Source organism: Homo sapiens, chromosome 2 (assembly GCF_000001405.40).
Source record: "Homo sapiens chromosome 2, GRCh38.p14 Primary Assembly".
NCBI classification, from domain to species: domain Eukaryota; kingdom Metazoa; phylum Chordata; class Mammalia; order Primates; family Hominidae; genus Homo; species Homo sapiens.
Genome location: NC_000002.12, coordinates 233,791,663 through 233,804,458, shown reverse-complemented (window position 1 = coordinate 233,804,458; position 12,796 = coordinate 233,791,663). Strand labels below are relative to the sequence as shown.

General features: G+C 52.7%; 1 protein-coding gene across 15 annotated transcripts in view; it reads right to left on the bottom strand.

The window, feature by feature from the left end:
• The window catches only part of MROH2A (maestro heat like repeat family member 2A), a 57,695-nt gene that overhangs the window by 28,960 nt on the left and 15,939 nt on the right, over positions 1-12,796 (bottom strand). For 12 of the 15 annotated variants that reach the window (XM_024452842.2, NM_001367507.1, XM_011511076.3 and 9 more), the window contains exons 6-17: positions 11,565-11,663; positions 10,635-10,786; positions 9,953-10,096; positions 8,714-8,806; positions 8,414-8,492; positions 8,146-8,259; positions 5,609-5,685; positions 4,560-4,679; positions 4,144-4,254; positions 2,144-2,291; positions 971-1,011; positions 267-408 (exon numbers count right to left, since the gene is read on the bottom strand). In XM_024452842.2, the coding sequence (XP_024308610.1) occupies positions 267-408; positions 971-1,011; positions 2,144-2,291; positions 4,144-4,254; positions 4,560-4,679; positions 5,609-5,685; positions 8,146-8,259; positions 8,414-8,492; positions 8,714-8,806; positions 9,953-10,096; positions 10,635-10,786; positions 11,565-11,663 (1,320 nt within the window). Of the gene's footprint in view, positions 1-266; positions 409-970; positions 1,012-2,143; positions 2,292-4,143; positions 4,255-4,559; positions 4,680-5,608; positions 5,686-8,145; positions 8,260-8,413; positions 8,493-8,713; positions 8,807-9,952; positions 10,097-10,423; positions 10,595-10,634; positions 11,538-11,564; positions 11,664-12,796 lie in introns of those variants that run through there. The other 3 variants (XM_024452847.2, XM_024452849.2, XM_024452848.2) reach the window with 3 other exon arrangements.

Here is a 12,796-nt window from a genome sequence, read left to right as displayed (position 1 = left end):
CTTCCACTGCTCCCCTAAGCCTGGTATTCAAGGCCCTCTATGCCTCCTTAGCGTGGCATTTGAGGCCCTCCATGGATGAACACATCACACGTTGCATTGCACTCCTCACCTTCCCAAGCTGCTCAACCAGTTCTCAGGACAAAAGTGGGCTGGCTGTGTGGGTCAACTGTGAGCCTCAGCTCTCGTTATTCAAGTCATGTGATTAGAACCCCAGCACATACACGGATTGGAGGGTTGGCTTGGGATGGGCTCCCCAGGAACCTCACCTTCCAGGTACCGGACCAGTAGCGCAATCTCCAGCTCCCACATGTCGGCCATGGAGGGTGCGATGCTCTGGCTCAGGGTCCTCAAGAGGTTGAGCATGGCTATCCCACGACCCTCCCCCTTGTAAGGTGATGACATCAGCACCTGGAGGGCACCAAGGCTCCAGTGAAGTAGCACCTGAGCACCTTGCTCCTTGTCTTGGAGCTCTTTGTCCTCATTTTTAAAGGGAGGAGCTGGACAAGATCGGTGGTTTTCAAATAGGGATTTCAAATAGAGAGTGCACCTGCAGAGGACACTACAGGAAGGATGGGGGATGGGGGCTAGACCTGGGCTCCCTCCCCACCCCAGGCTTCAGTGCAACATGGATGAGTGTCCACAGTTAACATAAAGAGAAGAACTCATGGGTCCTGGACTGAGCCAACCCCCAGGGGTAGGCAGGCATTGGCAGTGTAGTGGGGATGCTTTGGGCAGAGGAATCTAAAAGCAGGTCCAGGTCAGCTCCCCAGTTATTACAAGTGCACTGCTTCTACCAAACTCGAGAGGAATTTCAGGGACATGGAATGATCTGTCCTGCCAAGCATCAAACTCCCTCATTGCACCTCAGCTTCCTCATACCCCTGGGGCTCTGGGAATTAGGAGTTTAAAGAAGAGGTGCCACAGGGCATGGCCTTGCCAGGCCAGGGCATGGTGCAGGTCAGCCACTCACCAGGAGACGGGCCAGCAGCTTCTGAGGTGCAGGCAGGTCCACTGATTGAAGGAAATGCAACCCCAGCTGAGCCTTCCTGGCTTGTACCAGGACATGCTCCTATGTCCCCATCTAGGAACTTTACCCTAGAAGGTTCCTCCCCAACATGATCTTGTTCCCCAAACCCCCAGAATGGAGAATGGGTTGGCACAGGGAATTTCCTAAGAACATCATTACATTTCACTTATCCTGGGAAGAGGGGAGAATCGTGCTAATGGGTTGAGGTTTAGAAGATGCTCTTTTCAGGCCATGCGCATTTTGTAGTGGACACCAAGACTTTCCATGACAGTGTTTTGTCTCCTACTGTGAACCCCATCCTCTGTTGAGCCAAAAGTAATTAGACACTGCCATTCTACCCACTCCTGACTCTCTCCACAGGCTTTGGGAGCCAATGAGCCCAGGAAAAGCAAACCAACAGCGCACAAACAAATGGACAAGGGCACGGCCAGGCCTGCTGAGAAGATGCCAGTGCAGGGGACCTGGAGAGGACTCAACCAGAGTCAAGAGTGAGAGGGGCATGAGGAAGACCTCAGAGGATTGACTGGCCAGCTTGTTTAGATCAAAGTCAGAGAGCAGGCTCTGCCCTTTGCTAGCCCTGGATCCTAAAGGACCCCATCAATCACCTACATCACCAGCGATGCCCTTGGGGCCAGAGTTGGAGGGAAGGGGACAGGAGCAAGCATGGTAGGTGGGCATAGTTGTTTTGAGAGCCTGGTGTTAACAGTGCCCACTCTGAGTGGACCACAGTGAGGGTAGTCTACAGAGGATGGGATGCCTATAGTTACTCTAGCTGGCTCAGAGAAGCCAGGCAGAGCAGAGGCCCAGTAAGGTCATGCATGGGAAAGGCTGGGCCAGGAGCTCCCAAGGATGGGATCTGGACCAGGGCTGTGGGCTGGGGGGACAGGACATGAGGAGTGAGCTATCCAAAGGAAGTTTACACAATTCTAACATGACCTAGATATGATCAGGTAGGCATTAATATCCAGGTAGGCATTAATAGTATTAATTTGGACTTGGATGTTTCCAGGAGAAGGGGGAATGAGGGTGGGAGGAATGTGGAGAGGGGTGGGCATTCCCAGACAAGGAGCCAGCCCACCTGCCCAATCCAATCAGCTGGACAGGAACTTTGCCCACCTTGCCTGCTCTTGCCAGCCACGCTGACATCCACATCCTGGCCATGGAGCTGGTGTTCTGCCAGGTTTGTGAGGCTGATACAGATAGGAGTCAAAGCTTCCACGTAGTCTGTCTCCATGATGTAGCACAGCAGCCTCACCCAAAACTCCTGGGGTAGGGGTGGGAGAGAAAGGGGCTCAGAATTAGCCCAAGCCCTGGGCTTCTAAGGAGAACAGTCAGGCTCTGCCATGGTGCCATCCCATCCCTGCTTCCCCAGAGATGTCCCCTGACAGTCTCAGCCCTGAACTGGCTCCACCGCCAAATCCAGTCTTTGTCAGGGGCATTTAAGTGTCACCCACCCTGATGTGGCAAGAGAGTCTGCTAGTCCCTGCTGGGGCCAGCATCCCTGTTGCCCAACTCCTATCACTGCCAGCCTCATACAAACCCACACTCATCAAACCCTTCTCATCCAGGGCCCTCCCTCTGATCCCAAGTCCTCTAGAGGGGCACCCCGGGCAGATGATCCAGTTGTGCATGCCTGGTATGACGGTCAGTTTTGTGTGTCAACTTGGCTAGGCGACTGTACCTAGTCATTCAGTCAAACACCAATCTAGGTGTTGTTGTGAAGGTAGCTTGTAGGTGTGACGAAAGTGCATAATCCATAAAAGAGATTATCCTCAATAACATAGGTGGGTGAAACGCCTTAAGAGTGAAACGCTGGGATTTCTCTGAGGAAGAAGATATTCAGCCACAAGGCTGCAGCATCCGCCCCTGCTAGTCTCCAGCCTGCTGGCCTGCCACACAGGTGTCAGACTTGCCAGCCCCCACAACTGCATGAGTCACTTCCTTAAAATAAACCAGGCTATATATGTCTTCTACTGGTTCTGTTTCTCTGGAGAACCCTGACTGATATGGATTCTTGGAGCTGTGTTTCCAACTTCACCCCACCATCTCCTCTCTCCCTGGGTGACCGTTCAACACCCCCGACTAATTATAATCCCTCTCCACCCCACCCCCACCCCTAGGAGTTGAAGGTGAGGCTCTTGTGCTACCAACCATCAAGTGCAATGGCTTAACCTGTTGTAGCCACCAGGACTAGAATCTCCCAGTTCCTGGGCTTCCCCATAAAGACAGCATGGTGAATTCCAAGGGAATTTCAATCCTGGATCTATTGTTTACCAGATATGAGGCCTTGAGCAAATTAATGAATCCCTCTGGGTCTGTTTCTTCATCTACAAAATCAGGATAATAACTACCCTCTATGCAGGTAGTTGCTGGGATAATTAAACAAGATTGCACAGGTTGCACACCTAGTACAGTATACCTGCTATATGTGGGTGCCACATGGACTGTAGCTATGATGATGATGATGATTATTATTATTTCTGCAATTAAAAAAAGCTGTCGCTGGACAGGGATCATCTAGCCTGCAGCCTCAGTGAGTAATCATTCCCTCCTTGATGTTCTCATGGTACATTTTTCCTCTTATTGCTACGTCACATTTTGTTGCAATTAAAAGTTGACACATTTGTTTCTCCCATAGTCTGTGAACTCCTTCCACTCCTTCCCGTCATACTGAGTCCTCCTAGTGCACACTCCTCTGTCCTGTCTTTCACAGAGTTAGAACTCAATGAATGTTTACAAAATTAAACCATGAAAATCATTGGTCTACACACAGACACACACACACACACACACACACACATACACACACACACGGGCCTTAAAGTAATGGACACATTTCAGGTACTTGCTCAAATGATACAGACTGATACTGCCAGCCATGCTGAGGTCGTGCACTGCCCAGCCTCTAGGGGTACAGAGATGAAGAGTAAGTTCTCATCAAGGACCTGGCTTTGGAACTGGGTTTTGAGTAATTCCAGGCAACTGGAAGAGGAAGGCCCCTCAACACTCCAGACAGCAGGAACGGAAGAAGCAAAGATGTGGAATTCTGGGCATGTGTGGTTCACCCCCAGCCTGGCGTGGTGACCCACTGTGCGGGTGGGGCAGGGCCCACTCACGGTGGTCATCCCACTGACAGAAGAGGTAATGATCTTCACAGTGTCCATGGTGACTTTGTGGACCATCCTCTCCTCCAAGTCCCTCTGATAAAACTTCTCCCGGCGATTTGTCTGGAAGAAAGAACCAAGGGATTCCCACCTGTGGCCTAGCAGAGGTTTGTCGTGGTCTCAGGTGTGGTCTCCTCACTCCCCAGGGGCTCCATGCCCAGATACTGAGTCTACAGAATGCTCAGAGCTGTGCATATATCTAGGACCCCACACATTGTCACCTGCAGGTTCACTGTGTCTATGAACTCCTGTCATGAATGGATACGCAGGTTTGAACACAGGTACGCTGAGTGGCATTCTCCCCTCAGCACTGTGGAAACCATTTCCAAGTCCAGCTGCTCTGCGGTCTGCGTATCAGGGCCACTCACCAGTTTGTAGGTGGATAAGGTCAGCTGCACAGACAGGTACTTCAGGCCCCAGCCTTTGATTCTCTCCTGGTAGCCACAGAGAGCCAACTGCCCAATGATGTGGAGAATAGCCATCCTCACCTGAGGGGACAGGACCGTGGACATGCTGGGGGTTGGGGTGGGCTCCAAGGCACCCAATCCTGTGACATAGAGAGCTAGGAATTGGGGGTGCTCTGGGCTAGAAGGGGCCTCAGGGACTACCTGATTACTGCCCACTCTGTCCACCTCCCCCTGCCTCATCCAGGGGTCCCACTCTGCAGCATGCCCACCTGGGAGCCTAATTGAGCCTTGGAGAGACACAAAGCTCCCTCCCTCCCTTCCAACCTCGGCTGCTCCATTCTAGCAGCCCTTGCCGTGGGGAGCCCATCTGTTATCCTGGACCCCCTGGGGCTTGCTCCATTGATGAGAATCACTATGTGAAGGAGATGCAGAACGAGCCTCTTCTCGCTTCCCTCCACAGCCTCCAGGGACTGAAGACAGCTCTGCCTAAATCTCTAGCCCCCATTCTCCTCCATTCCCTCTCTGATGTTCCTCAAAACTGCTGTGCAGACCCCTCACTATGCCGGACCTCCCTTCCCCAGCCCATGGCCAGAACCAAGCTCCACTCCAAGGTGGATGTGGCTGCCATGGAGCCTGGGACTGTGGTTTTCAGCCTTTTGAGGATGGGTAGAGGAGTACCCCTTAGTTGCTTTTTTCACATGCGATAAAGACCTCACAAAACCCTTGACAGCCAAGTGACTCTAGCTGCAGCTGGATTTACTCGGCCTCTGTTGGGTCCAAGGTGGTGCCTGAGACACACCACTCAAAAACTCTAGATCCATGGAGAGAATGAGGTCTCGAGAGTGGAACCTCAGCTTTCACTGGCCTCACCATTCTGCAGCCCCAGTCGAGACCCGATGGAAAGCCGGGTTTTCCATCAAAAGCCTCTGCCTCCCAGAGCCCAGACTTCCCTTTGCCTCCCTGGCAGGGTCCCCTGAGTGCCCCCCATTTCCAGGTCTCTGCCCTGTTACCTTGGACCGGGTATCAGAGATGGTGTTCTTGACTACCCGGATAGCCAGGTAGATGGCCCTGATACTCATCCTGGGCTCTGAAAGAGGAAAACTGGGTGGGCTGGAGGGCTGTGGCTCAGGGAGAGGTCAGGTGGCTCGTCCCACATCAGGGCCTCACGTTCTGTCTCCTCCCACATTCTCCAAGCTCAGGGGCACTTTCTTAGGAGCCTCCCTGGCCATGCTCTCCCTGGCCATCTCCCTCCCCTCTGTTGTTTCCACGCCTCGTTCCCTTGGCCACTGCTTTGTGTGTATCTCATTTGAACCCAGGTGAACTCGCCTTGAGGGCAAGATCTCTGCCTACGAGCTCTTTAGTGTCCTGCAGCTGGGCACAGAGCACTGGGCATGAAGTGGGCATGCAGTGGGCACACAGAGGTTGCAAAGCACCACCGTGAAGAGCATGGGTCCTGACACCAGGCCTTCCCTGGGTTCAAATCCTGGCTCCACCACATCCCAGCTGTGGGACGTAAAGTGAATTACGTAGCCCCTCTGCGCCTCAGTTTCCTCGCCTGTAAAGTGTGGATAATGACAGTGCCTCTCTCACAGAGTTAACACAGAGTCTGGCACACCGTAAGGGCTGGGCAAGTGTTTGCTAGTTGTACAACTGATGACAGCACACCCAACTAAAGCAGGAAGCTTAAGAGGGGCAAGAAAGAGCCATGAGAAAGTTCTGGAGAGGGCTGGTGTGGATGGAGGTAGAGTTAGACATCCAGGATGATACTGCACTCAAGGCTAGGTGTTACTAAGTCAACCCCAGAGTAGGAAAAAGGAAATGAGAGCAGGTACAAGGTGGCAGTCAGGCACCAAGTGAGCATGAGACAATTGAGAGTTTTCATCTTGAAGATGCAAACTGTTTCTGATTATAAAAATAGTATATGGCTGCATAGTATTCCAAGGTGTATAAGTGCCACATTTTCTTTATCCAGTCTAAGCTGGAAACCATCATCTTCAGCAAATTAGCCCAGGAACAGAAAACCAAACAGTGCATGTTCTCACTCATAAGTGGGAGTTGAACAGTGAGAACACATGGACATAGGGAGGGGAACATCACACACAGGGGCCTGCTAGAGGGTTGGGGGAAAGGGGAGGGAGAGCATTAGGGCAAATACTAATTTCCCTGAATGAAAGAAAAAATAGCATATGTTCATTGCAAAATTAAAATAAAAAATAACCACTTTTTAATAGATTTTGTCCTTCAGACCTGTTTATGCATAAATGAACATAGATTTCTTCCACATCACTAAGGTCATGCTATAAATACTGCCCCACGTTGTATTGCTACACTTAATACACTCAATAGAAAGAGGGCAGCTTTTCCACAAAAAGTGGATTGACTACACACTTTTTAATAGCTGCATAATATTCCATTATGCAGATATATTGTTTATTCCACAAATTCCCTACAGAAAAACATTTAGGCTGTTTCTCATGCTTTGCTTTTAATACAATGTTTTAATGAGCACCTTTGTCCAATTACTTTTGGGAAATTATGTCCTTTGGATGGTTGACAAAAAGTTGGATTGTTGAGTGCAAATGTTGGTCCGTATCCAATTGAGCACCCAAAATCATTTATTGATTTACATCTCTGTCACTGAAGTATCACAGGTGGTTTCTTGTCACCCTAGACTAGCAATAAGCAAAGTATAACCCACAGCCTGTTTCTGTAAATAAAGTTTACAAAACCAGCCATGCTCAGGAGTCCACAGCTGTTTTTGGTCTGCAATGGTAGAGCTGAGTAATTGTCAAAGACACTATATGGCCTGCAAAGCCAAAAATATTTTTACTCTCTGGCCTTTCACAGAAAAATGACCAGGTGAACTCTAGCCATTATCATCTCTATTCATTGAATAGGTAAAAAGGATTTCATTGTTGCTTAAATGTGCATTTCTTCAAGAGAAAGGTTTAATGGCAGCACAAGGCCCTTTACATACAGTTGCCCAATTTGTGCACTGAACAAAGCTACCCAACTTTAGGGCTGAGCGGGAGCTGCCCATGCTCTTCTAACCATTATGTACCTGTAGGGCTGCATGCTGTCAACAGGGGCCTTCTTCAAATTCACACAAAGGCAGAGTGTGAGCTAGTGCCTTGGTTAGGGACAGGGGTTCTCTTTAAATCTCAGGGCTAGGTTTAGAGTTTGGGCTTAGGAATTGGAATCAGATGTGTAGACTATGGTTGAGCATTGAGTCCACGGGGCTTCAGAGTTATGCCTATGTGGTGTAGTTTGGCCTTATATCCAGCCTCTGATTGAGCTTTGGAGGTTAGCAGGAGGATTCGGGTTAACAATTCGGACTCAGAGGGTTGGGTGTGGGGAGGGTAAGCCACAGTGCTGATTAGGTTAAAGCTTAGAAAATGCAAAGCAGCCAAGAACCTTGGCTTTCTTGGCCCACCCAGTAGTGTCTAGGAAGTGGCAATGCCCGAACATGAATGAAACTTGCCTCCCTTGTTCTCCACCCTGCCTACCCCACCCTCCCCGCCCACCCCACCCACCCTGCCTTGCTCACCATCTGCGCTCACTATAGCCCTAATCAGATTCAGAGTCCCCACGCGGACGGCCTCCTTGTTTGTCTCCATCTGGCTGAAGAAGAACTTCATCAGCTCCTTGGGGTAGGAGCGAGCTGCAGGGTGGAAGGACAGCTTTAGTCATGCTCACCGGGTCCAGAGCAGGCCCAGCAAGGCAGTCCCAGGCCCAGCGCTCAGAGGGGCCGGGACTCCTACAGGCCTCCTGCAGGCCTCGGGGCAGGCAGGGAGCACCCTGCCGCAGAGCCTCACCAAGGGCTACGAAGCAGTGCACCATCTCCATCAGATTCTGGCTGCTGTACTGATGCTGGGCCGGGGCCTTGTTGCACACCTGGTGAGGGACGTGCAGTGAGGCTGGAGGAGATCACAGGGACACAGGTGCAGGGGCAGCCCAGCTGACCATACCTGGGGCTGCATGGGCACCACAGCCTCATACCCCATCAGGATAAAGGAAGCACGCGAGTGAGTTGTGGGCCAGGCCACCTCCCGCCGCCAGCTTCCTGCTGATCCACCCAGAGAATGCCCTTGTCCAGCTGAGCTTGCTGGCCTCACCTGGACGTGCAGTTCTGTGAAAATGGTGTGTAGCTGCATTTGGGGGACAGGGGTGTTGGTGGTGACTGACAGTTCCAGGATCTGCCTCAAGACCTGCAGTGGATTGGCAAATGGTGGCAGGTGACCTTCTACCAACTCAAGGTCAAACTCTAGACCCTCGCTACTCAGGGGCCCACTGACCCACTGAGCACCAGCATTCCCTGGGAGCTGATTAGAAATGCAGACTCTCAGGCCCTACCCCAGTCCTGCTGAATCCAAGCCTGCATTTCACCCAGCCCCCAGGTTGTTCCTAACCACAGCAAGGCTTGGGAAGTGCTGCGCTAGGCCCCTGAGTGTGGCATTCAAGGCCTCCTTCACTTAAAAGTGAATCCCATTATTTAGCCAGAATGATCTACAGATGGCTCCTAAATCAGTCACATCCCTTTCCACTCCTTGCTTTAAGAGCTGAGACCCACACCCTCCTTATAGATGAGTGATCCCTTTACATGGGCACCAGCCCCATCCACAGCTCCACGCGGAACACTGCAACGGCTCCATCTCACACATCTCACCCCTCTACCAAGGCTGCCTTGAGTTGACCGGTGTCCTTCCAAAATTCAGGCTCGCCCAGAATCTGATAATGTGACCTTATTTGGAAATAGGGTCTTTGTGATGGAATTAGTTCAGGATTTCGAAGTGAGATCATCCTGGATTTTGGGTAGGTGTCCTTGTAAGAAGAGGACACAGAGGGACACACAGGGAAAGGCCACGCAATGAGGAAGGGAGAAATTGGAGTGATGCTGCCACAGTCACAGAACATGTGGGGCCACCAGAAGCTGGAAGAGGCAAGAGAGCTTGCTTCCTTAGAGCCTTCAGAAGGAGCACAGCCCTGCCGACACCCTGAGTTTGGACTCCTGACCTCCAGGACGTACAGAGAATACATCTCTGTTGCTTCAAGCTACGCATGTGTGGTTCTTTGTTACAGCAACCCTAACAAACTAATGCAAAGGCCACAGCCTCACTGCAGCCTCCGAGGGACCAGCACCTGGTCCCTTCCACCCGGAAGGGCAGTGTTCATTCCCATGAGTCCCACGGGTGCCAGGCTCCACGCCCCTCCCTCGCAGGGCACAGATGTCGGGTTCCTGACACAGTGTCAAAATATCTGACATCCCCCCGGCTCCCACTCATCCCCTTTAAACACTTGGGAGCCCCCAATTCCCTAAGCCTCCTGCCCAGAGCCGTGGCTGCCTGGCCACTCGCCTGCGTGACGAAGAGCACCTCCAGACTGCCCTGGTACTCCGCCAGCAGCAGGGGGATGTAGTCGTAGACCTGCTCCCGCAGGTCATCGTTGGGCAGAAGGAGGCCGAGCATGGGCTTCAGGGACTTGATCACCCCCAGCTTCACCTGCCACCAGAAACCAGCTCTGGGACGCATTGTCTCACCACCCTCCAGCAAGGCCAGTGACCTCAGCCCCAGCCACAGAATCCAAGGACACAGGACAGAAGGCGCCTCAGAAGCAGAGCAAGGTCTTTCCTGCACAGGCGGCCGGGTTTGAGTCCCTCCCACTTAGCAGCCACATGACCTTGAGCAGGTACTTAACCCCTCTGTGCCTGAGTTTCCTCATTTGTCAACTAGTCCTATATCACAGAGTGGGTGTGAAAATAGCTCCCATGGGTAAGACGCTGGTAGAGTGCCCAGCATGTAACAAGTGCTCTCAGGATTATCACCAACCTTCATCAAGCCTGGCCTCGTGGATGAGGCTCCTAGGTCCCAGCTGTTCAGCATCCATGAGTTCCCCGGCTCTGCCATGAGTCAGGTCACTGCCCTCTAGGGTCCTGGGAGTAAGTGTGGACCCGACGGTCCCTCAGCACCTCCCGGCCCCACAGGCTGGGGAGCTGTGGCCTGGGGACCACCAGGCCCTCCTAAGAGGGGTGCATCTCACCTCGGGGTTGTAGTGCCTCAGCCACACTGTCACGAAGTAGCGATACATGGGGAACACCTTCAGGGCAAACTCCTCCTCAGTCATCACGGGGTACACGCTCTCCTCCAGGTGCTTCAGATAAAACTGCACCGTCTCACAGAAGGTCTCCATGGCTACCAACAGCAACAGGGGAATGCACTTGGCGCCAGAGGGGCTGGAAGCAGAACCAAGCCTTCCCAGCCCAGCTTCCCGAGTGGAAGTGCTCATGCCTTGCCGTAGCGAGCAGGCTGCACCCTGCCCTTCCAACCCCCCACAGCACCTTCATTTTTACTCTGCGTGCCTGTGTGTGTGAGAACTGAGCACTCGGGGGTGTCTGGGTCCCTCTCCTTCAAGGACAGAGACGGGGTCAAGGGCGAGGCCTGGAGTATGACCCTGCCCACATCCTGGGGATTCCAGGTCAGAGGGCAGTGAACAGTGAACACATGTGGCCCTCTTTTTCTCAGGCACTAGGGCTTTTTATAAGCCCACAAGAACATTAAGTAATCAAAATCTGGGGCAAGGTGATCAGATTGAAATAGCATCTAAGACCAGTCCCCGTCAAGCTCCACATGGAGCCGTTTTCCCCGGTCTCCCTCTCCTGTGAATGCTCATTGCTGTTCTGTGGTCTCATGAACTGAAGTGCTTAATTACAAAGCAAGCTAAATGGAGTCACCGTTGCAGCTTCTTCCCTCTAAGCCGGGATCTTCTAAAAGGCCCCCACCATGTCTCAGCCTCTTGTGCCCCAGGCAGCCAATCAGAGGCCACACGAAGTAAAAGATTAAGCAAACTCCTTTGGAGAACAAGTGAACAGTGCACCTCTTTTTCAACAACCCCTCCATCTGCTCCTTACCCAGCAGTCTCCCTCCGGCGCCCTGATCGAGCCAGACCTGCAGGCTCAAGTGGGACACTCACCACTGCAGATCGCCTGGCGTATCTTGGCTTCATTGGCAAGTCTCAGCATGGTGAATATGGTAGCCAGGGTGATGCCCATGTATGGCATGAACTCAAACACTGTGAGGTTGTGAGGGATGATTACAGGAAGTTGGGGCTGGGGGTGAGCAGAGAGAAGGCAGAGAGGACAACCCTGCTGCCCTCCACCTCCAACCCCTAACAGTCCAGAGCTGGCTTAGCCCTCTGTCCTGGCTGGGGCCCAGGAAATAGTCCAGGAGTCAGAAAAGCATTAAAAAGTGAGCTAGAAGGGCACGGTGTCTCACGCCTGTAATCCCAGCACTTTGGGAGGCCAAGGTGGGCGGATCACGAGGTCAGGAGATCGAGGTCATCCTGGCTAACACGGTTGAAACCCCGTCTCTACTAAAAATACAAAAAATTGGCCGGGCGTGTTGGCAGGCGCCTGTAGTCTCAACCACTCGGGAGGCAGAGGCAGGAGAATGGCGTGAACCCGGGAGGCGGAGCTTGCAGTGAGCCGAGATCGCGCCACTGCACTCCAGCCTGGGCGACAGAGCATGACTCCATCTCAAAAAAAAAAAAAAAGTGAGCTAGAAGCAGGTGACACAGGAAGAAAGCCAGGCAAAAGGGGAGGAAAGGGAAGAAGAGAGAGGACCAGGAGAAGGAAGAGGAGGTCCGAGAGAGGGAGGGAAGAGAGGACAGAGGAGCCCCAGGGAAGGAGGGGCAAGAAGCAGAAAGAAGCAGCCCCCAGAGTGCGTCCATCCTCCCGGACACAGGCCAGCCTCCTTCAGGGGTCCCACAAACGTTCTTGGGCGAACACAGAAGCAGGGAGACAGCAGGTGAGAGCAAGGAACTGAGAGAAGGCACGAGGCCAGCAGAGAAAAAGAGCAGACGGATGAAGGAAGGGAGCCGTAACAGGCCACCCTGCAACAGGAGGCAGGCCCCTCCACTTCACCCACCCTGAGTGCACCCCCATCTTCAGACTTCATAATAATCCCCCTCGCTGCTGTCCCTTGTCCTCTTTCCAGGCCTGCCTTCCCTTCCTCCCCTCCCACTCCATCCAGGCCTTTATCCCCAGCAAGCCGTGAAGCTCTTCCACCTCCCGCCTTCTCCAGCCTTATCTCACTGGACCCCTTGGCAGGATGGGCATCACGGGGGCCTGCACCCCTTGAGATTGTTCTCCCTGTGCCAGGCCTCACATTCCACGCTGTCTCTTACGACTCCTCCCGAGCCTTGCC